This window comes from Homo sapiens, chromosome 1 (assembly GCF_000001405.40).
Source record: "Homo sapiens chromosome 1, GRCh38.p14 Primary Assembly".
Classification (NCBI taxonomy): Eukaryota; Metazoa; Chordata; class Mammalia; order Primates; family Hominidae; genus Homo; species Homo sapiens.
This window is the reverse complement of record NC_000001.11, coordinates 159,848,358-159,872,206: the sequence shown is the minus strand read 5'-3', so window position 1 is coordinate 159,872,206 and position 23,849 is coordinate 159,848,358. Positions and strand designations below refer to the sequence as shown.

The window sequence follows — 23,849 nt, the reverse complement described above, 5'->3', positions numbered from 1 at the left end:
CCTTTGTCCTGGTGTCTCCTGGCCTTTTTGTGATTCCCTGGGATCACAATCTTGTCTCAGCTCCACCCTGACGCCCAGTTCAGAAGCATTTCAGGGCATTGAGGCAGAGCTACAGTTGCCTCTCAGTGGGGGCTGGGGCAAGGCTTGGCCAGGCGGAGCTGGTGAAGGAGGCACCAGGGCCAGGTGAGGCAAGGCTCTTACTGGGATCACACCCATGACTCAGATCACATCTGTGGAGGGAGTGAAGTTTGAACCTGGGGCTCACTCTGCCTGTCTCAGCTCTCTCCCACCAGAACCCTTTCAATTCCAGGCAATGCTGCAACACAGACACAGGCCCATGCCCCACTAGGGCACACCAAGAGCCCTGCACTCCCCACCCTGCCAGTCCAGTCCCCTCACCCGAACTCAGCCCCTCCTGTGGCTGGGCTCTCCTCAGTCCACCTCACTCCCATAGGTGGGGCTCCCAAACCATTTTCGTCTGTTTTTAACTTGTCTCACTTTGCCCCAAACTATACTTTAATCATTCATTCACTTATTCAGATACTGACTGAGTGCCTACCACATGCCAGGTACATTTCAGGCACTCACTGAGCACAACAGACCTTGCTGCCCACTCAGAAGCTGCTCATTTATGCCGGTCTGCTCCTGTTTTCTCCCCTGAGCTGCTCCCACCAAATTTCTTGTACCTTTGGAATCATCTCTGCCTTTTTGGCCTCTCACCTGGTTGTCAGGTGCCCCTTTGGGGCTGGACTGCTAGCTTCTAGGGATGGAGCCATGTACCCTGTTTTTGTATGCCTAGGGGAAAGGGCTTTCCTCCAGCTGCTGTGACATTGAGGTCCCTCTCTACCCCTGGGGATGGATTCATCTCTCAAATCCAGAGCCCAGTCTTGCCTTCCCTGATGGGCCCTGCACTAGAGGAGGTGAGGAATCTGTTGGGTGCATCCTGGATGTTTACAACTCCAGGTTACAAGGGCCTCAGGCAAGAGTCCTCTTTTCATAGGGCCCAGGGAGAGTCAGTAAGCTGTTTCCTGTGCTTCCTTTTCCTCAGGACAGCCACAGCTTCCCCAGGTGCCTTCTCCACCTTTTCCACCAGGAAAGATTGTTGCCCCGCCCGACCAACTGTTTGGGAAAGAGGCTTTCTCACCGTCCCTGCTCAGCACCTTTAACTGCAACCCTCCTTCCTAGGGAAGCTGATGCCTTCCTCCCTAGGGGTCTTGGGAAGATGTGGTACCCAGCCTCGGATGGGAGAGAAGACATGGCAATGCCGCTGAGGATTCTGGGACTCATCTGCAGTTGGGGCACTGGCAAAGGTTCTCTCTGAGCATCACCTGTTGCTTAGCTGATGCCTGCAGGGACCAGGGAACAAGGCTTTGCCTAGTTCAGGAGACACTCTTTCCCAGGAAAGCTAGAAAGAGCCTGGGTGCTTAAGAGTTTGCCTAGGCTCACACCTAAGTCTTCCATCTCAGGGCTGGAAAAAATGGGCCACTATGGAGAAAGGATTGAGGAGAAAGGGGGTTCCACACCCACTGCTAACTTCTGAGCCCACTTAGACAAAAATGGGCCAACATCACAGGTTGACAGTAAGGCCAGCATTTGACCAGAGCTGCTGCTGGTGAAAATGTAGGTCTTTGGGTCCGGGAAGATCCCAAAGCCTTACTAAAAGTGAGTGAGACTGTCGACTGGGCCTGGACACAGGGGCAGTTATAGGTTACGTGAATAAAGGTCTGGCTTTGGAGAAGAGAGAATATAGCCACTTCTGAGCAAGTGAAGATGGTTTGGGAGAGAATCTCAGGGCTCTGCCTCAGGGTTGACCCTTTTACTCTCATCAGGAGTTCTCCATCTTGGAATTGGCCCATGAAGTAGAACAGAGTTTCAATTTCTTCTCTTGGGATTCCTAAGAAGTCACACCCAGGCTTTCATGGGCTCCAGAACTAGTCTGAACCAGTAAGAATCTAGTTCTAAGATGCCTGACACTCTTGAGAGCCAGGCAGGTAGTTGGGATCTGAGGCCAGTCAACTACATCTCAGCAATCTTTTATAAACCCTCTACCAATCTCACTCAGAAATGGCAGTGGGGATAATTACAGAGAAATCTCCCAGTGTTAAGTGGGGACTGGTGGGGTTAGGCTGCATGATAGTAGTGGCAGACTCAGCAGGACACTGTGTGAGCTGAGCCTGCAGAGTAAGGCTAGGGCCTGGAGACAAAGAGAAAATGGGCATTCTTCTGAGGACTCCAGTGGGTTCCTAGGCTCAGTCTTGCTGCTAGAGGTTGGACCTTTAGTGGAGGTGCTTTCTGCTGAGGAGGTTTAAGCTTTCCCCTTCTCATGCTCAAAGGTGGAGATGGTGAGCTCTGTGTACTCCTCTAAGCCACTGAATCAACACAGGGCTGTGTGAGAGGCTGTAAGAGATAAGTAGGAAGTGCAGTTTGCTGCATCATCTTTGTTAATATAAAGCCTTTTTTCTTAATTGCCAACACTATTATTGACATTGTTATATGGGTATCTGATCTTTTCATATCTACTTTTTACATTATTTTATGTATAAAGGTACATATTAGCTTCCCGTGGACTTCCCAGCCCCCTGTCTTCTGCCTTGGGGGTCTTCCAGCCCTTATAATGTCAGACTGAACTAGTCCACTCTAGGGAATCCAGGGGTTGGGCTCCCTGCCGGGGCACTGAGTCAGATCAGCAGGCAGTTGCCTCCCAGGCATGTGCCTCCTGGCTCCTGGCTGGGCCCTATGTCCTACCTGCCCACATGTGCCTGTTGTGGGTTGGAGGCGGTCTCAGTACTTTTGCATCTGCGGCAGAAGCAGCTCCAGCTGGATGTGACTCAGCAGCTGCCCTGGTAGCTAAGCCATGCTGTCCCTGACTCAGTGGGGTGCTGGGATGTCCTTTACTACCCCTGAAAGCCTCAGCACCCCCACCTGTGACTCGAGTCACAGCTGGACATTACTTGGTCTCAGTAAAAGCATTTGGATTAGGCTCAGATGAAAGGGGCTGAGAGAGTTCAAAGACAGACAGGGCTTTCAGGGTGAGGACAAGTGGCCGTGGTTTCGGTGATGGTGGAAGGAGACGCTGGAACCTCAGACAAGAAGTCTGGATTTGTGGGCTGTGGAGACTCAGGGACAGTGAGCTCCTCACTCTATCTCTCACTCTCTCTCCTCCTAACTGCTGCTTCTGCAAAGAGTGGTAGCCTGGCAGAGAACTGTGAAAGAAGCAGATGGCTCACTGCAGACCATAGGTCTCTTCCCCTCCTGGGCTGCTGCCTATGGCAACCTGCCTCCCCTACCAGACTCTGAGATATGTCAGGGGAAATCATGCCCAGGTTACCTGGAAGGTCCTCATTTCTGACACTGCTGAGTTATTCCTGAGTTATTCTTGATTTGTCTGGCTTTAAATAGCTCAGACCTTCCCTCTGTCCTGGCCCCAAACCTCACATCCCTCCCAGTTGGGACATTCTCCTTGAGGCGCAAGCTCTGTGTTTCTTTTTGCATTCTCACCCATGTCCTCTTAAGAAAGGGCTAGTCATCATCTCAATACCTTTTGACAACTTTGAGGCTGGACAGGAGTAGGGTTGAGATTTTAGAGGGCTTTCTCAGAAGACTCCCAGAAAGAAGAGTCAGAAGTGGGTGAATGGAAGTGAGGAGCAGAAGGGCTGGGCCTGGAAGAACCTGTCCAGAGCCAATGAATTTTCTGCATGGTCCCTGGGAAAGACTTCCCTGGGTAGTGGGGATGGACACCAAATCTTAGAATCTCAAAGCAGAAAGGGACCCCAAAGACCCTCTGATGCTTGAATATCCTTTGTAAACTCTAGTCAAATGGTTGGACAATCTGAGCTTGTACATCCTGAGAGACAGGGCGCTCACTACCTCAAAAGGCAACCCAAACCATCTCAGATTCGCCCTGATGCCCAGAAGTTTCTTAATATTGAGTCAATATGTCTTCCTGTGTATCCAATGTGTGGACCGAGTTCTGCTCTTTGTGACCACACAAGGCAGGGCCAGGCTCCTTTTACATGATATTTCTTCAGATATCTCCTACCCTGGCTGCTGTGCAGCCTGACTCTGAGGGGAAGTGCCTGTCATTATAGAAACACAGGGCTCTCCTGAGCATTTCAGGGAGGGGAGGAAACTGGGAGAAGTGGGGAATCTTCAACTTTATCCCTTGGGCTGGGCCTGCTGTTCTCCTGCCAGGTAATACTTCTGCTGTCGCTGCAGCCCTAGCAGCGCTCTGTTGCCTCTGAGCCCCGCCCCTGTGGCACCACCTTCCCCTTGACTCCTTCTATCCCAGTGTGCAGGCAACAGGAAACAAATACAGAGGGCAGAGCAAGGATTGGTCAGGACGGGCTTAGTGAGAAAGGCTCTGAACGAGACACACACCAGCTGCAGCTTCGTACTGACGCCTGCCAGCTCCTACACACCTTCCTGGGCAACTGCCAGCGGGGCAAGGCAGGCCTGGGGCCACCCTGCAGGTCAAGGGGCACCACAGTTCCACTCTGTAGATACGTGTTTGGGGAATCCAGATGGCAAAATCAAAGGCAAGTTTTATTTCTACAAATTAAAATGTCAAAGTCCCATTGGACCTGTGGATTAATTCATCTCAAAGTTTCTCTCCCCATAAACAGACAGACTCATGGTTCAGGACAATCAATTTTAGTTGCTTAATCCACCCGATGGCCTGGCTCTGATCCCAGTGAGGTGCTCTGGTGTTCTGGGTAGAAGGTCCCAAGAGGTTCCGTTCTCAAGGATCTTCCTTCCTCAGTTAAAAAATAATCGTCAGCTGTCACTCCTGGCTTTGCTCTTCTCAGTCCATGTCTGGCAGGGACCTGGCTTACTTACCAAGCCCAGAAATATTCCCCTGGCCTCCTCTCTCCACCCGCTACTCTTTTCTCTGGCACGCCGTTGTTAGTTATCCTTCAGATCTCGGCTTAAACATCATTGCCACTAAGTCAGGGGCCTTGCACGTATTACTGCATCTTACCACATTGCGGGCCAGGAGCTATTTCCGTGTCAGATGGGGTGTTCTGTGAGGATAGGGACTGAGTCTCCTTAATTGCCATTTCCCCAGGGCCTAGCACAAAGCCTGGCTGTTTGCTGAATGAATGAAGGTTCTGCAGGATGTGGTTGATCTTGGCGAGGTGAAGATACCTTTATCTTCAAAGCCTCTTCATTCTTCCTCAGATCTGTCATCAGGGAATCACATAGCCTTTACAAGCGATTTCTTCTCGCCTCCACTCATTCTCTTGCTAACAATTCAGTTGGTGGCATTCAATCGCCTCCCTTTGCTCTTGTGCTTTGTTGATGTAGTGACAACTCCAGCCACTCCTTTAATTGATGGGGACTATGTGTGTGCTGCTTGCTCTTCTGAGTCTGTCAGCTTCAGGACATTGCTTGATGGGAGAGATGTGGGCATATCCAGGCTCCTCCTAGAATCCCACTTCTTCTGAAGTGTACCAGTCAGAACCACTGAGGTTTGGGAAACCTAAGCAGGAGCTTGGGGAGTCCCTGTGTCACCTGTGTTCACGGCTCTTCCCTGCCAGCTTTGATTTGAGCCTTAGTTTCGAACCCAACCCACACCCTCAAACTTAGCCCCACATGTCGATCTCATCCCTCTCTGTAACCAGAATCCGACGTTGTCCCATCACCACCCATGCAACCTCTGAGCCCCCTGCCCTTCTCATGCAACCATGGCCTCACCTGGCAGACCTCCACCTCCAAATCATCACTGAAAGCTGGGTGGACAGACAGCAGCTGCAAGGCTCCTTGGCTTCTCTGTGACTCTTTGCCTATCCATTGTCACTCACAGCTTCTGCTCCCAGAGTCTTACCTCAGAGGTTTCCTCTGCAGGACAGCTCCTCCCTGGGTGCTGCAGGGTGAGCCCTGGGCTACATGGGGACTTGGGAGAGGGGGCTGAGGAGCTTGCTGACTGTGTGGGGAGGAGTTTAGAATGAGTCAAATTGCAGTGCCAGCCAAGGCAGGGGTTGTGGGGAGCTTGATTGAGCCTGAGCCCAGGGAGTCTGGCGGCCACTGAGAGGGGTTGGGGTGGGCAAGTACAGGCAGGGGAGGGCAGGGCTTAGAGGAGTGGGGTGGAGTTGCCATGAAAGGGACTTTGGAGGAAGAATAGGCTTTGGAGGAAGAGTAGGCAGCCCAAGCCCTCTGTCCGTCCTTCCCAGAAAGGTTCTGGGGCTGGGCTGCACTTCATCTGGTAAGCAATCTGTGGCCTTCTCTGAGTTTTTGTCCAGCCTCTTCCTACCTCCTGTATCTCCCTGTTTACTCCTTTCTAAGCCAGTCTTTGATTTTCTGTTACTGTCTTAGAATAGAAGCAAATACCAGTCAAAGCAGGGCCATTCTTCCCTGGAGAGTCATGGATTTCTTAGGAAAAAGCAAGGGGCCCTTTTGGAAATTTGTATTGGTTCCCAGCTCGTGGCCTGGGCCCTCTGCCTCCTCTGTATCCCTCTGAGTCTCTGGAGGGGCCATTTAGACCATGTGTCTTTCTGTCTGCCTCTGTCCCTGTCTCTGTCTTTGCCCCTTAACTCATCACTATCTCTCCCAATCTCTTTCTTCTCTCTCTCTGGGGTCACAGGGGGAACCCCAGTAGTCTCCTGGACCAGACCTTTATAAAACCTGAAAAGGAAGTGGGTGGGGAAATGAGATGTTTGGGCTGGAGACTGGTTGGGGAAAAATGAGAGGGAGGAATTGGGACGGGGTCTTCCTAGGAGTGGGGCCCTCTTCCACTGCTGAGGATAAGGCCCAGAGACTTACACGGACTGTGAGCTGGGCCCAGAGGGAGGGGACTGTAGGACTGTGACATATGCTTTGGAAACTATGCTGACACCCCAGTGCCTTCACCCCATCCACAGCCTCCCCACTGCTGCCCTCCCTGAAAACCCTGCAGGGCTCAGGGTTTAGGGCTGGAAGGCTGACAGCTTCTTTTATAGGACTCAAATTGCAAGAAGGTAGCAATTAAGCCTCAGAGGGTCAAGGGGAAACAACAATGGCACTCTGCCCTTTCAGGCTTTGAAAGACCCCCATGTGGTGCCCCATAAAGTGGCTGTTCTAGGAGCATGTAGGCCCTCAGTTTCTCCCAACTCCCATCTCCTAAGGACTCCAAATCCAGACCACCCCTCCTCCCCACTCAGTAAGACTCCCTCTGATGGACCCCATCTTCTAGTTCGGTTTGGTGTCAGAGCCCAACTCATTGTCAGTAGCTTCCTGCGTCTCCTCCCCAGATGTTTTTCTGGAGCTTGGCCAGGTGGTGAGCTTTAGTAGTGGAGCAGGACTTCAGAGGGTCCATTCTCTATGGGATTTAGTTGCCTCATACCCCTTAGATGGGCTCGTGTACATTTGGCTTCCTCCTCCAAGTCTTGGGACCCCAATCAACATGTGCCATTAGTAGTCTCCCCGCACTAAGGATTGAAAATTCTAGCCAAACCTGGATTTAGCAGATGGAGGCTGAAGTCTTTCTATATTAGAAATAAAACCTCATCTTTGATCCCCATCAACTCCCGCTGCTTACGTGTCTTTAAACCATGTTCCAACCCTAACCACAGCCTATTTCAATGTGAATCTCAAACTTAGTTCTAACCCAATGCTAAATCAATCTAAACCCAGCCTTTGATTTAGCCCTAACTGTATTCCCAGGCAGAGCTGTAAATGAAACTAAAACTCTATTCCTTATCGTAACACAAATCCCAGCCATAAACCTGAGCCTCAATTCTAGCTGTATTTCTAACCCTAATCCCAACCTTAACTCTAATCCCAACCTCAAATCTGACCTCAACCTCATTCATAATTCAACTAACCCCAAACTTAACCCCAGCTCTAACATTAGCCCACATCCAGAACCCAATTAAATCTGAAGCCTGCACTGTAGTTTAGTGGAACCACAATGTTACTGCTTTCTCCTCAATCTCTCTGTTCGTGGTCTGACCTGTTTTCCCTCCCACTCACCCTGACCTTCCATGGTTCTTGTTCGTGAGTGGGTCTAGTAATCCACAGGATCACCAAGACCATTTTTTGGACCTCTCTGGACTGACACCCTGGGTACCTGGGTATCCCAGCTTAGGCACCAGCCGCATTGGCTGAATCCCCATGTTTCTCCAGGTCTCTGTTTCCCCATCTGTAAAATGGGGATAATGATCCCTGCTCTTCAAAGGGAGCAGGACAATCCCATAAACCTAAAAATAAATAAGGAAATAAAGATATTCATTGTGTACATCTGGTAGGTCTCAGAGCGCCCTGTTATTGTTGGGAGTTCAGGTGCAACGGCTTGGAATGCAGAGACGCGTGGACTCCTTGTGTTTCCTTAATGTTCTGACTTATTTTTCCCCAGAGGGGTGGGCCCTGGCAGCATCCCTGAGCCCCATAACTCTCCCTAACACTCTTCCTCCTCTGCCCTTTCTGTGCCCCATGGTAGGGATGGGGGCAGTCCCTGACTCCTTTGAGGGAGTTGAGCTATTGAATGGGGTCACTCATGTCCTGACTCCCACCATGGAGTCCAACAAGGCACATGCCCATTCTGTCCCCCTTAGACAAGCCAACAAGGGGTGGCCCTTCACTTGCTCCCCATGCCTACCAGGACCCTCCCCACCCCAGCACGAACTTACCCAGAACTGTGCTGGTTTAGTCAGCCCGATGACCAGTCCAGGTTATGAGGGTCCTTGGTCTCAAGGACCCAGTTAATACTGGGACTGCATTAACCCTCAAGACCTGGCTACTCTTTCTGGGCAGAGAAGCCAGGACACCAAGCGATCCCTCAAGAAGTTCACTCAGAGGGGCTTAGCCATCCTCACAGAGACACCCTGACACAGACATCCTGCCTCCCTCCCACAGACATTGCTGAGGGGTGCACACGCTTACACAGGCACCCCCTTCCCTGGTCCTCTTGGCGCTGTTCTCTCCAACACTCCCTCACTAGCCCATCAGTCACCTTACTCCTAGCACACACCCTGGACCCCCCATAGCACCCCTGCTCCCAGGGGTCCCCTACACTTGGGGATGGCCTTGAGTCGAGTATGGGTGTGGAGGACAGTTCCAGAGGGGACAGCCAGGAGGAGACTCTGTTCCTGCACACACCCCTTCTCTCCTCTTTCAGCTCAGGAGGCCTGAGTCCCTTTGAAAGGCCTGAAGCCTGGGGGAAGGTGGGCTGGACACTCCTGGGGAACCCTATGCCCTGGGATCAGGATTAACTCTTCAGGTCCTGGCCACTCTTTCTCCCAAGCCTGGCTTCTCCTTCCTCTTCCCCACTTCCCCCAGGGAAGGAGGCAGCAAATGAGTGGTGAGGGGAGCCCTTGGAAGCTGTAAATGAGGTGACTGTTGTCACCCTGAGGATGTGGCCAGGAGGAAGTGAAGTTTAACAGGTGCCTAATTACAAGTCCCGCTGGCTGTCCTGTGCCACTCTTAGGACAGGGAAGAGCTTGGGTGAGGGCTGGGTAATGCCCAGGTAGGCCACCCTGTCACCCTGCTAATTAGGGTTCCTGGGACTCCTCCCCAAGGCGGGGACCAGGCCCCCTCCCTCCCATAGAAATAACTCCAGCTGCTCCCCAGCTGGGCACTCATTGCACCTTCCTGCCACCCCAGGCAGTGTCTGGGCCCTCAGCTCCCCCTCCCTCCACCTACCCCCTCACACCCACCACTACGACCCCACGGGATACCCAGCCCAGACGGAGGAAACACCGAGCCTAGAGACATGAGAGTTGGAGGAGCATTCCACCTTCTACTCGTGTGCCTGAGCCCAGGTACGGGGCTGGGCAGGGGGCAGGGTAGCCAGCATGAGGCTAGGTGGGAAGGAAAGGGGCAGCAAGGGCTCACAGTGGAGCCTGGGGCTGCCTGAGTTGCCTGGCAGGGTGCTGCCCACCCTTGCCCTGCTGCAGCCGGGTGTGGGTATTACCAGGGGACCTTTCCCCAGGAGACCCTGTGCCTGATGTTCAGGGTGTGTGTCTGTAGTGCAGAGGTCTTTGAGTGGATCTTTATATGTCCCCTGTCGGGCTCACACATGTGTGCAGGTGCCCTGCAAGCTCATGCCGTGACTAGGAGGAGAGGGATTGATTGCTCTGCAGGAGCTGGAGGTGGGGTAGGAGAGGGGTAAGCACGGGCATTGGGTGAGGGCTCAGGAGGAGCTTGGGAAGGATCAATTTTCATCAGACTGTGTGCTATTCCCAACGCTACTCCTTCTCTCCCAAGGCCAGGGCCAAGGGGCAGGGAAGTCACTTGCCTTGAAAGGGCAAGAGACTAAGTCTGGTGTAAGTCTGAGTGGTTTCTTCCATCATGGCCAGTGACAGCTCAGGCCTGAGACCTCAGCCTTGGGCCCCCTGTGCTATGACAGGGCAGTGCCCCACTCTAGGATGAGGCCTGAGGGTGGTGGGGATGGCAACTCCAGAGACTTCTCACCCCACCAGGACAGGTCCACAGGGCAGGGCTCAAGTTTGGACATTGTGGCTTCCTGCCCAGGTTGGGGCAAGTTCCACCAAGGGGCATTCTATGCCAACATCACTGGAAAGGGCTCCGAGTCCCTCTTGCAGTCTGGATTTGGGATGAAGGGGCATGAAGGAGGAATTTGGGAAGGCGGGGTGACATTTTCAGCCTTTGTGTGAGCGTGAATGTGTATGTGAGTGTGTGGGTGCGTGCACCTGCATGGGAATGATGACATTTCCGGCAGGATAGCTGCAGCCCTTCTCTGTCTGATGAGAGCAGGGCTGGCAGAGTCCACTCGGGAGGCTCCAGCTGTGCTGTGGGGACCCGGACTTCCCCCTGTGTGGTGTGTCAATGGGTGTGTGAGGACAACTCAGCACTGGCTGCATTAACGCATCAATACCCTCAGCTGGAGCCGCCTTTTCTCCCCTCCCTTACCTCCAGAGGGAAGATCAGGAGTTCTGGAAGCACCTTGAAGATTCAGAAAGAATTTGCAAGCAGAGAGTAGGCACCACTATTGAGATGACACCCCGTAAAGCATGGCCAGTTTCTGGTGCTTTTGGGGGGCAAAGAATCACCACTGTCCTCTTCCTTGGAGAGCCCATGTGATTCCTCCATTCCTGTCTCTCCTCAAGTCTCCCATCCAGCTCTCTCTTCCACTTTGCCTTTCTTCCCTCTCTCCAGCCTCTCCTCTCACATTCCCTGTAGTACTTCCTTAGTGCTACAGCAAGAGGAATCAAGGTGAGACATTAGGAGCAACTTCCCAAGGAGAGGGAGGGGTGCGGAAAGGCTGGAACCCTTGGGAGGAGGTTGAGAAGACTTCTAAGGAGATAGAAAAGCTGGGTGAGGCTCCCTGGTCTGGGACAATTGAAGAATCTCTCAGCCTGGTGCAGGGTGGAGGTGCTTTTCTTGCAGCCTGTCGCTCCTTCCCAAGCCCCTCTCCCTGAATGCTTACCATCCTGCCTGGCAGGCTCCTATGGCATGGAGAGAGTCCTTCCTGTGTGGGTGCTTCCAGCGGTGCTTCTCCAGGGTGGAGCCTCTGCTCTCAGCCGAGTTCTGGCTCATCCCTGGCTTGCCTTGAGCAGCCTCAGGATCTGGCAGATGGCAGCAGGATCCTTATCTCAGGAATGAGCTGTTGTTCTCTTGGCCTGGAGCTGGAAGAGGCATCACTAGGTCCCGTTAGAGCCCCAGCAGTCAGCCTGCCTGCTCTGGGTCACCTTGGAGTCTAGCTGGGTTATGACAGAGCTGATGGCCCAGCCAGTGTTCCTAGGGGGGATGTTCAGGGATCCCTGAGCTGTTGAGGGTGTTGAAAGGGCCCTTGCTGGCCTCTCTGGAGCCAGGCTAAGCCTTCCTGGCAGGGCTTCCATAGATATGTCTGGTCTTGAATGAACACATACAGGGACTATATGAACACACGGTGGGTGTGTCTTTTGAATTAATATGTTCTGTGTTTGTGTGCAGATTGTGTCTGTGTCTGAATGAATCTATATAGTGTCTGTGTTTGTAGGAAGGTGGGGCCATATAGGTATGTATCTGCATTTTGAAGCCTTGTAAGAGTGGGCCACGTGCCGATTTGTTTGCCTGTGATGGTGTAATTGTGTGTGTGCATGTGTGAGATCTCTATGTGTAAACATGGTCCTGAGCCACATGATAGAACAGAATGATTGCTGAGACCTGGGGCTGTGACTCCAGAAGACATGTTGACTCAAAAAAGAACGCAGACGGAGAGTGTGTGAGGCCTGGTGAGGGGCCTGCAGAGGCAGGGTTGCTGGAGACTGGGAGGTGGAGGGCAGAGTGTCCAGGGTGGGGCCCTGGCTACACCCCCCGGTCTTATCCCTCTCTAGGTCCAACCGGTTGGGGATAGGCCTGCCTGGGGCTTCAGGGTAGGGAGGGACAAGAGCTCAGTCCTGAGCTCCTGGGTCCTGGGATCCTGGCTCCTCACCCAGGATTGCCTGCCACTGACTCAGTGGCAGGAGGGGCCTCACTGGAAGCCAGCTTGTGGGGGCAGCTGCATGCGAGCCACACAATCACATAAGAGGAAGCACACACAGTACGCAATGCTGTGTAGTCAAGAAAGACTCACAATGTCCTACAGATACCTGTGGCCATAGTCCCAGGCACACACCATCACTCACTATCACACACGAACACAGCCAGGCTCCTGGTCACAGCTGTCCACTGTCATGCACAAGCACACACTGTCACTTTTAAGCACTTACATAGCTCACATGGTCACACATCACTATACAAAACCACACAGAGGCATACAGCCACAGACTCACACTGTCATACACAGACACACATAGACACACTTAGTCTTTGGCTTCTCAGGCTGGAGAGGAGTCCCAGAAGCCATTGTAACCACCCCGCTGCCTCTGGACAGGAGGACTTCACTCAGCCCAGACAGAGCCCACATAGGTGACATTTAATCAGCCAGGCTCTTCTATCAGAGCATTTAACAACTCTGTGTGTACCACATGCCTTCACACACACAAACACATCCACACTATCATATAAATATATAAGCAGACACGCTACGTGGTCATGTACATGAATATCCTCACAGTACACATAAGCAGCCACAAATACTCATAAGCATACAATGTACATACGTGTACATATTCATACATGCATACACATAATCATATATACATACAAGCATACATAACAGCTACATATATAACAGCTATATGTATAGCTGTTATATGCCTGTGACAATTCATGCACACACACATACACACCCACTACGAGCAGCCCTCCTTTTTATGAAAGCACTGCTGACCTCTGGGTGCCGTGGACAGAGAATATGAAGGGAAGGGCTGACACTGACTCCTCCTGAAGCCCTGCTTCTGCTCCTACCACCCCATCTTCTCTGCCCTCCCCCTAGCACTGCTGTCTGCTGTGCGGATCAACGGGGATGGACAGGAGGTCCTGTACCTGGCAGAAGGTGATAATGTGAGGCTGGGCTGCCCCTACGTCCTGGACCCTGAGGACTATGGTCCCAATGGGCTGGACATCGAGTGGATGCAGGTCAACTCAGACCCCGCCCACCACCGAGAGAACGTGGTGAGTGCTGGGCACAGGGGTCTCCTTCCTCTAGGCTTCATGATGTCTACCTGTTGGACAGCCAACATCCCAAAGGGAGAAGACTGACCTTGAACCTCCCCCAAGGCCTTTCAGGGAATGAGGCAATGGGGATGAGAGCTCTGCAATTGTGAATTAAGCTAGCCAGTCAGTCTACCTCCTCCCATCCCATTCTAAAAGGAAGATAAGTTGTAGTCTTTGCCTTCAAAAAGTTCCCAGTCTGACCATATATCTTTCCAAGTGCTTGATCTCACCTGATCTCACCAGTTCTGTAAGAGGTCAGTGGCTCAGGCATCATTATTCTCATTTTTTCAGCTGAGAAAAGAGTCTCAGAGAAGTTCAGTGAATTGCCCAAAGCAGCCAATCCACATGGCCCTTCTTGGCTCTGCCTGTTTCACCACCTGTTTTCCTCTCCTCTTCACAGTTCCTTAGTTACCAGGACAAGAGGATCAACCATGGCAGCCTTCCCCATCTGCAGCAGAGGGTCCGCTTTGCAGCCTCAGACCCAAGCCAGTACGATGCCTCCATCAACCTCATGAACCTGCAGGTATCTGATACAGCCACTTATGAGTGCCGGGTGAAGAAGACCACCATGGCCACCCGGAAGGTCATTGTCACTGTCCAAGGTATGGCCAGACTCCTCTAAGCTCCTCTCCCCCTGGCTTAAGAGCCAAGGGCAGCTTGGCCACTTTGAGCCTGGCTCTGTCTCTTGGCTGGGCCCTGGCTTACAATTGTCTGCCTCCTTGCAGCACGACCTGCAGTGCCCATGTGCTGGACAGAGGGCCACATGACATATGGCAACGATGTGGTGCTGAAGTGCTATGCCAGTGGGGGCTCCCAGCCCCTCTCCTACAAGTGGGCCAAGATCAGTGGGCACCATTACCCCTATCGAGCTGGGTCTTACACCTCCCAGCACAGCTACCACTCAGAGCTGTCCTACCAGGAGTCCTTCCACAGCTCCATAAACCAAGGTGAGAGGGCCCTGGATGAGGGCAGTCGGGGGTGAGTGGAAGATCAGGGACTCTGGGACCTGTTGGGGTTTCCTTGGGTTATCAGTGCCATCAAATCAAACCTGGAATCCCTGTGGGAGACCCTCCCTCTGGGCCTGCCCCAGCAGCTGCTATTTTTTTTTTTTTTTTTGAGACAGAGTTTCGCTCTTGTTGCCCAAGCTGGAGGGCAATGGCATGATCTCGGCTCACTGCAACCTCTGCCTCCCGGGTTCAAGCGATTCTCCTGCCTCTGCCTCCCGAGTAGCTGGGATTACAGGCATGCACCACCGCACCTGGCTAATTTTTTGTATTTTTAGTAGAAACGGGGTTTTACCATGTTAGCCAGGCTGGTCTCAAACTCCTGACCTCAGGCGATCCGCCCGCCTTGGCCTCCCAAAGCGCTAGGATTACAGGCGTGAGCCACCGTGCCTGGCCCAGCAGCTGCTATTGAGAGCAGATGATAAGGCAAATGTGGAGAGTCAGTCAAAAGTACTATGGCGAATTTGGAGGGAGCCTGGTCTCAGACAGAGCTGGGCTTGAATCCTGGCTGGGACACTGACTGGCTCCAAGTTTAAGGCAAGTGGCTTACCCTCCCTGTGCCTTAATTTCTTCATATATGGAAAGGGAATACTAACATATACCTTTCATGGGCATGCAAGGATTAAATGGGGGAGGTGTGTAAAGCTCCTAGTACATAGAGAAGCTGAAAATATTCAGTCAAACAAAGAATAATAGAGCTAGGAGGGACCTTAGAGTTCCTCTTCCCCTGGCTTCTCCTGTCCTCACTGTACAAAGGAGGAGACCAAGGCTCAGAGAGCGTACATATTTCCCTAAGGTCAGAGTGAATTAATGGTGTCCCTGTCTTGCTGCTGGGAGAGAGGTCCTTTCTTGCATCTCTTTCACAGCAGGGGGAAGGTGACTCACCTGGAGAGTGGAGTGTGTGTGTGTGTGTGTGGGTGTGGGTGTACACACATGCATAAGCCTTCCCTTCTTCTAGAGTGGGTGTCCCATCCCCCACCCCACAGGGACTGAGGTTGGGGTGGGAGCTCTCAGAGACCAGGCCTCTCTCCACTTCACTTTCAGGCCTGAACAATGGGGACCTGGTGTTGAAGGATATCTCCAGAGCAGATGATGGGCTGTATCAGTGCACAGTGGCCAACAACGTGGGCTACAGTGTTTGTGTGGTGGAGGTGAAGGTCTCAGGTAGGTGCAGCAGTCTTGAGGGCTGGGTGGTTGGGAGGGTTGAACTGGAGGAGGCTGGGCTCTGGTTTGGAGCCTCAGCTGCTTCTGCCTTTCCACTGCCATCCATTTGCCAGTGGGGGCTCCCAGCCCCTTTCCTACAAGTGGGCCAAGATCAGTGGGTACGATCTTGACCCTATTGAGCTGGGTCAAGCTCGCCCAGCACAGCTTCCACTCTGAGCTCTAGAGCCCAGAGCAGCTGGAAGCCCTGGGAGAAGCATGCTGACACGAGGGGTTAACTTGCATCTCCCCATATCTTCCCCACTGGGTGTTCCAGGGCTAAGAGACCCCCTGGGTCCCTCTCCCTCTTTCCCATTAACCCCTGACCTGGCACCTCCTGGTGCTGTTCCCTCAGGCACCTGCCAGGCTGTGAGAAAGCCTGACCTGCCTCCACTTCTCTCCACAGACTCCCGGCGTATAGGCGTGATCATCGGCATCGTCCTGGGCTCTCTGCTCGCGCTGGGCTGCCTGGCCGTAGGCATCTGGGGGCTCGTCTGCTGCTGCTGCGGGGGCTCCGGGGCTGGCGGCGCCCGCGGTGCCTTCGGCTACGGCAACGGCGGCGGGGTCGGCGGAGGGGCCTGCGGCGACTTGGCTAGTGAGATCAGGTAAAACCTGATGCATGCTGCATGCTGCTGTGCGGCAGGGAACCGGCGCCCTGCCCACCTCACTCCTGCCTGCCACCGGCCGGCTGGGCCCCCCACCCCAACCCTGCCCGCCATCGCCACGGAGTGCTGGGACTGCGGCATGTCGACCTGCCACCCAACTCATGGCTTTCCCCTCCCCCTGCCACCCCAGTCTTCACCTCTGCTCCCTGCCTTCCATTTCCCTCCTGCCTACGCACCTGTCTGTCTTGTCTAGACTGTAAGCTCCTGGAGGGCAGGGCCTATGTTTTTTCACGTTTCCCCTGTACTGCGCCGGTAAGAACTCTGACATTATTATTTAAGAAGAGCTAATAATAAGAATAGTGCTAATAACTTATATTAGAAGCAAACTAGAAATAAAAATAGAACAAGTCTAGTAGTGCTAATGATTGCAATGCCTCGGGGATGGAGGGAAAGATGGAGAAGACTGAGGGGCAGGAGGTGAGAAAGAGAGAGATTGCTCGAGCAAGGTCAGGATTAGCTAAGGAAAGAAGAAGAGGAAAAGCACCTTCTTCTGGGCCTGCGAAACATCAGAAAGGGATTGCAGGGGCCTGGAGGGGGCTGCCTGCAGGGCTCTCCAGATACGCGTGGACAAGCCCTGTCTGGAGGATGGGGATGCTGGCTCCGGGACCGCTGCAGGGTCGCCGACCCAGGAAGGGTCACAAAGGACAGTAGGTCGAGGCCGAGGGAGAGAGACGAGGGCAGGTGGAGGGAGGCGCGGGAGACAAGAGGTTGCCAAGAGCCCCCGGCTCTGCCCAGGCCGTGCCCACGCCCCGCTGCGGAGCAGCCCGCTCACCCGCCCGCCTGTTGTTTTCCACAGAGAGGACGCCGTGGCGCCCGGGTGCAAGGCCAGCGGGCGCGGCAGCCGCGTCACCCACCTCCTGGGGTACCCGACGCAGAACGTCAGCCGCTCCCTGCGCCGCAAGTACGCGCCTCCCCCCTGCGGCGGCCCCGAGGACGTGGCCCTGGCGCCCTGCACCGCCGCCGCCGCCTGCGAAGCGGGCCCCTCCCCGGTCTACGTCAAGGTCAAGAGCGCGGAGCCGGCTGACTGCGCCGAGGGGCCGGTGCAGTGCAAGAACGGCCTCTTGGTGTGAGCGCGCGCGCCGGGCCGGGCTGCGCCCCAGCCAGGAGGAGGGCGCGGGGCTCTCTGTCTGCAGCTGGGGACACGTCGGGGCTGGGGACGACCTCGCTCGCCCCAGGCTGCCAGGCGGCTGGGGGTGAAGGCATTTCCCTAAGGAAATGCGTAGGGAGGCAGAGCCTCCTCCCCAAAAGTGGGAAGGGGCGGGCGAGGGCGGAGGAAGGCGATCCTGAGCCTTCTCCGCACCCCCGGGACCGAAGGCTTGGGGGAGAGGGAGGGAGGAGGAGGCTGAGTGTCCTAGAGCGGCTGAGGCCGGAGGCCTGGTGTCCCCAGCCTAAGCAGAGGGCCCCGGGGGCCGGGTGGGTGGGGGTCTGTCTGGACGAATTGTTCTGTGTGTGAGGTCTGAGCTCTGAGGCAGCAGTGTTAGCACAATAAAGAAACATTGAGACGTGAGTCCGAAGTGGCTGTCCGCGTTCCACGGAGGTTGGGCACGGGGTGGCGAACCCTGCCCAGGGCCGGGGAGGGTTGCTTCTGTCGCTCGCCTCGACCACGCCCCCTCTCCTCCCTCCTGCTTAGATCCCTGGCAGTCAGAGCTGGAAGGGGCCATCCAGGGCAACTCCTCTGAACAACATACAAAGTGCAGATAAAAGGAAAACAAAGACAAAAAGAATTAGCTCAGAATATCTACGACCGTAAAATAAACTGAGGAACCGACAAAGTGCAATACACTTGCCATTTCTAAATATTCAAAGTTTTCACATGTCAAGATTTTCTATTGAGAATAATGTGCTCTGAAGGTCTAGGGAGTCTTTGTATGTTGCTGAAAGCTAAAAGGAAACCAGTCCTTGGAGCACAGAAGGCACAGGCATCCGGTGAGACAGAAACAAGGACATGTGAAAATAAGACTACAACCTCTTATATTAAAAAACTAAGTGCCACAGTTCTAGGGTGCTGGGTGAAGTGCAGGAAGGAGGGGGAATAATATTTATATAGCATATATTATGGAACTCGGAGAGTATGGTAAATCCCTTCACCTAGATGCTGCTGGTGTTTTAGAACAATTATTTTTGTGGTTCTTTTTTTTTTTTCATTTGTCTGCAGTTGGTCAACTTGTGCAGAGCCCATTCTGCAGGAGATGTTTGAGAAATACCAAGTGAATGAGTGTGGCAGCATTACTTTATGCTAGAAAAAAAAAGTTTTTAGATATTTTACAGTTACTGCCTTATGATGGAATATTCTGTGGTGAGAATCTAGGCCTTTCTGAGATCCAGCTCCACGTTCTTACACCCTGAAGTAGTCAGCCACTCCTAGATAGGGATTAATTGAGCTATTTAGTATTTACCAGCACTTGTTTTGTTAAACACCTTGTCATGATATTTACAATGTATTTTGGGGGATGTTTTAGTCATTTTTGGTTCAAAAGTGGAAATCAATAAGCACTGTTTTTGTTAATAGGCGCAAGACGTCCTCTCTTGTTTAGTGAGATGGGGAGTGCTTAATTGAAGAGTAATGTTTGAGATAAAGTTCCAAGGATATATTTGCTAAGCAAACAGTAAGTAAAGTGGGCAGTGTTATAGATGTTCCTTTGTTGATAAAGGGACCAGGTGGTCACACAGCAAGGAGGGGGATGCAGACAAGTAGACAAGCTCTACTAATCCTTCTTTGTTCAACATCATCTCTGTTGGGCATTGGAATCTACTTTGCTAATGCAATGCCCACTTGCCTATAATTTAAGAATTTCTAATATGGAATAGAAATGATTAATAGGAGAAGCTTGGCTGGATTAATTTCCTGTGCTGAGAAAGATTAAACTTAAAAAAAAACAGTTAGGTCCATCCTAAATGCCCAAGATTTAAGAAGGAACCTCATAGTTCAACTGGGTATTTGATGAATGTGAATGATTTTGTATTTGATGAGCTGATGAGGACAGTATAGTGATGCAGAGGGTAGGTGCTTGTACATCTGAATTGTCTGGGCTGTTTCTTATTTTATATGTAATTTATTTGTATTTAAAGAGTTCATTTTATGTTAGATTATTTGTGCTTTGGTAGCAAAAATATATTTGAAAGGGTAAGTTCCTGAAATCAGCAGTTTCATGTCTGCTAGGAGACAAGTATCAGGAAAAGTAGTGTGGGTTCTATCATTTCCATGCTACAACTTGGATGGTGTTACCTTACCACTTTGGTCCCTTGTTTCAGGGATGTTAGAACTTAGCTTAGACCTTCCTCAGAATCCTTTTGGACTTTGTGTTTCATTTGTTTGGCCTGCCTTGATTTTATTTGGTCATCCTTCTTGATTCTTTCATATTATTTGTTTACACTTAACTCTGGAATATTTTGGTGGTTGTTTTCAATGTACTGTAGGTCTTTAAATTGGTTTATAATGAATTATTGAGGAGAATAGCAAGTTGTTGACATTATATCTGTCTGTAGTAACATTAGAATATTTCCATTTCAATTTGTTGGGCAATTTGCTTGTGGAAATATAAGATGTTATATTTAGTTCTATCAAAACCAGGATCTCAATATTATTCTTTTGGCAGGTTGCTGCGTGTGTGTGTGTGTGTGTGTGTGTGTGTATGTGTGTCTGTCTGTCTGTCTGTCTGTCTTTGATTTTTTTCCTTCATATTTTCCCCTTAATTCGGTGTCGGTCAATACTGTTGCTGTTTCACATCCATTGTCACATAAAACTAGTCATCTCATTCTCCCAGGCCCCCTGTCCTTGGGAAGGGATGTGCACTCTGCAGGTATTAGTGATTTTATATAGCTGCATGAGTTGCTGGGAAAGGCCTTGGCTGGATTTATAATGAGCTGTGTTTACTGAGCATTATGAAGTAAAGTTCAATATGATTACTCTGAAGTCTGACCTAAAAAAAATCCTACTCCTTCACTATACAGATAGGGAAACTGAGGCCCCTCAGGCTGGACTTTAAATCCCCAATCTTACTTTTCCATTTTATTCTAGAAGGTCAGTTGAGAGGAAACACGGCTCTGTCATGGATGACCTCTAAATGATCCCTGACCATTCTTAGCATCCTTCTTTCTCTTCCCCTCATTGACCTAATCTTGACTTCTTTTATCTCTTTCAGATGTATGCCTTCTTTCTTAATAGCCAGGAAGTGTTTTAGAGTCATACTCTCTGGTGTAGAAAGACCTTCAAGGCCAACTAACCCAGCTCCCCCTTTTGGTGGGAAGGGGATTGGCATTTATTGAGCACCTATTAAGTGTTAGGTGCTTTTTGATTTTTTGTCTTATTTATTCCTTACTTTAGTCCTATGAGGTTGTGTATTATCCCCATTATACAGATGAATAAACTGAGGCTCAGAGGGATTAGGTATCTTGACCAAGGCAACAAAGATAATAAAGATAATTCAGGATTTGATCTAGGCATGTTTGATTCCAGGACAGCAGGCTGTTTCTCTGGCATTTGAATTCCTTCTATAGCATTCCTGACAAAGGGTATGTAACGTCTTCTTGACAACCTCCAATGGCAGCTCACTACCTTCCGAGGCAGGCCACTTGGCCTCTGACTGTCAATATTCAACAGAACATTTCTCTGAACCCGGTTTTTGTCCCCATATAGCTTTTATCCCTTGATCCAAGTTCTACTCTTAGGGACCCCAGAGCATTGTATTTCTAATTCAGCTGCCTCTAGTGGACAAAGTGGTTGCACTCCATACAGGATGGCTGCAACAGGGACACAACTGGACACTTGTCTGGTCTAGTTGGTAGGAGGTGTTCAGAAGAGCACAGTACTTCAAGGTCACTTCGTTCTACTTTCCTTTCCCCAGCTGCTTGCTTGTTGAGAGCCCAGCCTCTTTCTTCTCTCTTTGTCTCTTTTCTCTTGAGGAGAAGCTAGTCTTCCTCATTTTTCCTGCTCCTATTCTAGGGCCACAGGAGGTGTGGGGTGTGCATGGGCCTCAAAGTGTCTTTAGGAAGCCCCTAAACACTTCTTAGTAACACATAACTAGGAAACCCTCAAGATGACTTGGGTATTTGCAAAGGGGTGATGGCATTGCCAGCTCTGCTTTTATAGAGCGTGCTGAGAGACATGAGAGATAGTAATGAGGCAAAAGGAACCAGAGACCACTGTCTTGGGGGTGGGAAGGTGGGGAGTTCTTGGGAATGGGAAGAGGTATAGGGAAAGGACGTTAAATAAGGAGAAGAGCAGAGAACTCCAGGAACCATCCATCCCTTCATTTATTTGGTCATATTTATGAGCACCTATAAGACGACTTGTCATAGATGAAGAGATCTTCAGCAGGGCACTGTGCCTGGCATATTTTTGCCCTAAGGCAAAATATCCCCTAAGGCAGGGGATGGTATAGGATGACTTGGGGAGGGTGCTCCCTGTCTGAGGAGCCTCCAGCTTAGCTTCCTGAAAGGTGCTGAGGGACAGAGGCAGCCAGTTGGCTGTGCAGGTTGTTGAATGATATAATCTTCCCTATTCCAGGAACAAGGGAGCCATGATCAGACTTGGCCTCTATTTGGGGGGTGGGACCAGTGAGGCTCTGGCAAGAAAGGCTCACTAAAGAGCAGCAAGAGAGATTTTATAGAGACTCTGAGAACAGCTTCCTGTTAGGGTGAGTCAACAGGGAAGGTAGAGATTTCCTAAATCCAATGCTGAGATCACAGTCGTCACTGTACTTACCACCCCAGGAGAACGAGGGAAGGAAGTTTCTGTTTGAACAATTTTGCTTCAGGGATGCCTTGGTGTTTTTTGTTCATTTCTCCTGCATGAAACCTTGTTCAGTGCTGGAGGAGAGCACTTGTGGTGACATATGTTCAACAGTGGCTTTGGGAGTAGGGTGTAGGGTGGGGTAGGGACTGGGAAGCCCTGATTTGTAGCCTTTGCTGATTTCCATGATGTCAATGCTTCCACTATGGCTGAATTCAAGCTACCAACATGATGTGACTGGCATGGAATTGGGAGAAATGTTTAGTAGCACATGATTGTATAGTATTTCCATGATACAGATACAATGGAGGAAGTAAATAACTTTAAGAGCTTAGGTAATAGTGAACTGTAGTAAAGTCATCAGGAAGTGGTGAGTTTTGAGTACTTATCACCTTTGTTTTAATATCATTTAATTATAAATGTATGTAATTTACTTTTTAATAATGGCTGCATTTAACAACTGGCTTGGGAAAGTTAGGTGGACCATGTCACCCCAGGCAAGCAGAACGCTGGGCACACAAGTGTTGCCTCAAGAATGGAAATCTCAAGTACATCTTGATTTTTCTCTATTTTTCTAGAGAGATGCAAACAGCACAAAGTTATGCTACTTCTATTAAATACTACATAAATTGTCTTCATCCTACTTCCTAGTTCCGCCTTTTCCATCTCTCCCCCGCCTTGCTGGAGCTGAATTCTGGTTCCTCAGGTCACTGAAGAATTATTGAGAGAATTTGTATCCCCTTGGTTCCAGGTTACTCTTTTGATAGCCGTCAGAAACCTGCGTTGGCATCCACAGAATTTGCCTACATTTGTCTCCCAGGGCATCTAGCCATGGGAAATCTATTCAAGAGATGCCTGTGAGTCCTCATTGTTTCAGTTCCTTCTCTGACTCTCTCCCCAGGCTCTAGGAAGTCATCCTCTAGTCATCTTCTCTTAAGCCCCTAATTCCCAAGACCATGAGTCATATGGAGTCCCACGGAATTTTCTTCTGTGTGCTCCTCTTTTGTTTTCTTTTTTTTGAGACGGAGTCTCGCTCTGTCGCCCAGGCTGGAGTGCAGTGGCGCAATCTCGGCTCACTGCAAGCTCCGCCTTCTGGGTTCACGCCATTCTCCTGCCTCAGCCTTCCGAGTAGCTGGGACTACAGGCGCCCGCCACCACGCCCAGCTAATTTTTAGTATTTTTAGTAGAGACAGGGTTTCACCATGTTAGCAGGGTGGTCTCGATCTCCTGACCTTGTGATCTGCCCGCCAAAGTGCTGGGATTACAGGTGTGAGGCACCGCACCCGGCCTGTGTGCTCCTCTTTGAGTAACTATTACCATGTATGCTGCTCAATTACATTTCAGCTACTCAAGGCCCAGTCAGACTGCGGTGACTCTGGGGAGGGGTTAATAATAATAATTATTATTATTTTGCCTCTCTGGGAACAAGGAAGTTTTGGGAATTACCCAATCATGATCCTTCCAGAGTTACAAAAACTACTTCACTCCTATGGGTTTAGGTTGGGGCCTGCCTGGAGGCAGGGGACTGAATCTGTAGCCCTGTCCACTAAGCTGCCCAGGGAGTCTCCTCATGGCTCGTTTCCCTGATTTGGTGGGAACCTGGGAAACCCCTGCTCTGGAGTTAACAGTTAACATTCTGGAGTTAACTCAACGTTCATTCAGCCCATCTGGAGTAACCATTTTATTTATTCCTGGTGTATGGAAACAAAACTGATTCCATTCAGTTCTTTGCAG

At 51.1% G+C, this 23,849-nt stretch overlaps 1 protein-coding gene, 2 long non-coding RNA genes and 1 other non-coding gene across 10 annotated transcripts in view, besides 6 other annotated features; 3 read left to right on the top strand and 1 right to left on the bottom strand.

Annotated features, from left to right (window-relative positions):
* Positions 2,237-2,954: an enhancer, noted in NCBI's record as "H3K27ac-H3K4me1 hESC enhancer chr1:159839043-159839760 (GRCh37/hg19 assembly coordinates)". NCBI's record gives its function as "activates a minimal SCP1, AML or CMV promoter by ChIP-STARR-seq in naive H9 embryonic stem cells {active_cell/tissue: H9 hESC(naive)}" and the evidence as "EXISTENCE:reporter gene assay evidence [ECO:0000049][PMID:30033119]".
* Positions 2,237-3,008: a biological region, named in NCBI's record as "Sharpr-MPRA regulatory region 5062".
* Positions 2,714-3,008: a silencer, noted in NCBI's record as "tiled region #5062; K562 Repressive DNase matched - State 8:EnhW". NCBI's record gives its function as "represses a minimal TATA promoter and a strong SV40 promoter by Sharpr-MPRA in K562 cells {active_cell/tissue: K562}" and the evidence as "EXISTENCE:reporter gene assay evidence [ECO:0000049][PMID:27701403]".
* On the bottom strand, positions 4,522-17,360 carry LOC107985216 (uncharacterized). Of its 4 annotated transcripts, none has more exons than XR_001738262.2 (3): positions 16,869-17,239; positions 16,047-16,297; positions 4,522-11,561 (listed from the first exon to the last, which is right to left on the bottom strand). It is a non-coding gene; the product is annotated as an uncharacterized LOC107985216 (long non-coding RNA). The 4 variants fall into 4 exon arrangements; XR_007066675.1 differs by having other exon boundaries at positions 16,104-16,297; positions 16,869-17,232; XR_001738261.2 differs by having other exon boundaries at positions 16,104-17,360.
* Positions 9,222-10,134: an enhancer, noted in NCBI's record as "H3K4me1 hESC enhancer chr1:159831863-159832775 (GRCh37/hg19 assembly coordinates)". NCBI's record gives its function as "activates a minimal SCP1, AML or CMV promoter by ChIP-STARR-seq in naive H9 embryonic stem cells {active_cell/tissue: H9 hESC(naive)}" and the evidence as "EXISTENCE:reporter gene assay evidence [ECO:0000049][PMID:30033119]".
* Positions 9,550-17,891, top strand: VSIG8 (V-set and immunoglobulin domain containing 8). The gene is made up of 7 exons (NM_001013661.1): positions 9,550-9,734; positions 13,295-13,473; positions 13,916-14,117; positions 14,241-14,462; positions 15,564-15,683; positions 16,126-16,324; positions 17,181-17,891. Exons 1-7 carry the CDS (start codon positions 9,686-9,688, stop codon positions 17,452-17,454), a joined length of 1,245 nt encoding a protein of 414 aa, NP_001013683.1. The 5' UTR covers positions 9,550-9,685; the 3' UTR covers positions 17,455-17,891.
* Positions 10,135-11,049: an enhancer, noted in NCBI's record as "H3K4me1 hESC enhancer chr1:159830948-159831862 (GRCh37/hg19 assembly coordinates)". NCBI's record gives its function as "activates a minimal SCP1, AML or CMV promoter by ChIP-STARR-seq in naive and primed H9 embryonic stem cells {active_cell/tissue: H9 hESC(naive and primed)}" and the evidence as "EXISTENCE:reporter gene assay evidence [ECO:0000049][PMID:30033119]".
* Positions 17,148-17,557: a silencer, noted in NCBI's record as "silent region_1455". NCBI's record gives its function as "represses an Ori minimal core promoter by ATAC-STARR-seq in GM12878 lymphoblastoid cells {active_cell/tissue: GM12878}" and the evidence as "EXISTENCE:reporter gene assay evidence [ECO:0000049][PMID:35858748]".
* The window catches only part of SNHG28 (small nucleolar RNA host gene 28), a 20,560-nt gene continuing 13,880 nt past the window's right edge, over positions 17,170-23,849 (top strand). For 3 of the 4 annotated variants that reach the window (NR_147124.1, NR_147122.1, NR_147125.1), the window contains exon 1: positions 17,170-17,450. This is a non-coding gene — a long non-coding RNA (small nucleolar RNA host gene 28). The remainder of the gene's footprint in view (positions 17,451-23,849) is intronic. The other variant, NR_147123.1, reaches the window with a different exon arrangement.
* On the top strand, positions 20,235-20,301 carry LOC124900450 (small nucleolar RNA SNORD64). The gene has a single exon (XR_007067403.1). It is a non-coding gene; the product is annotated as a small nucleolar RNA SNORD64 (small nucleolar RNA).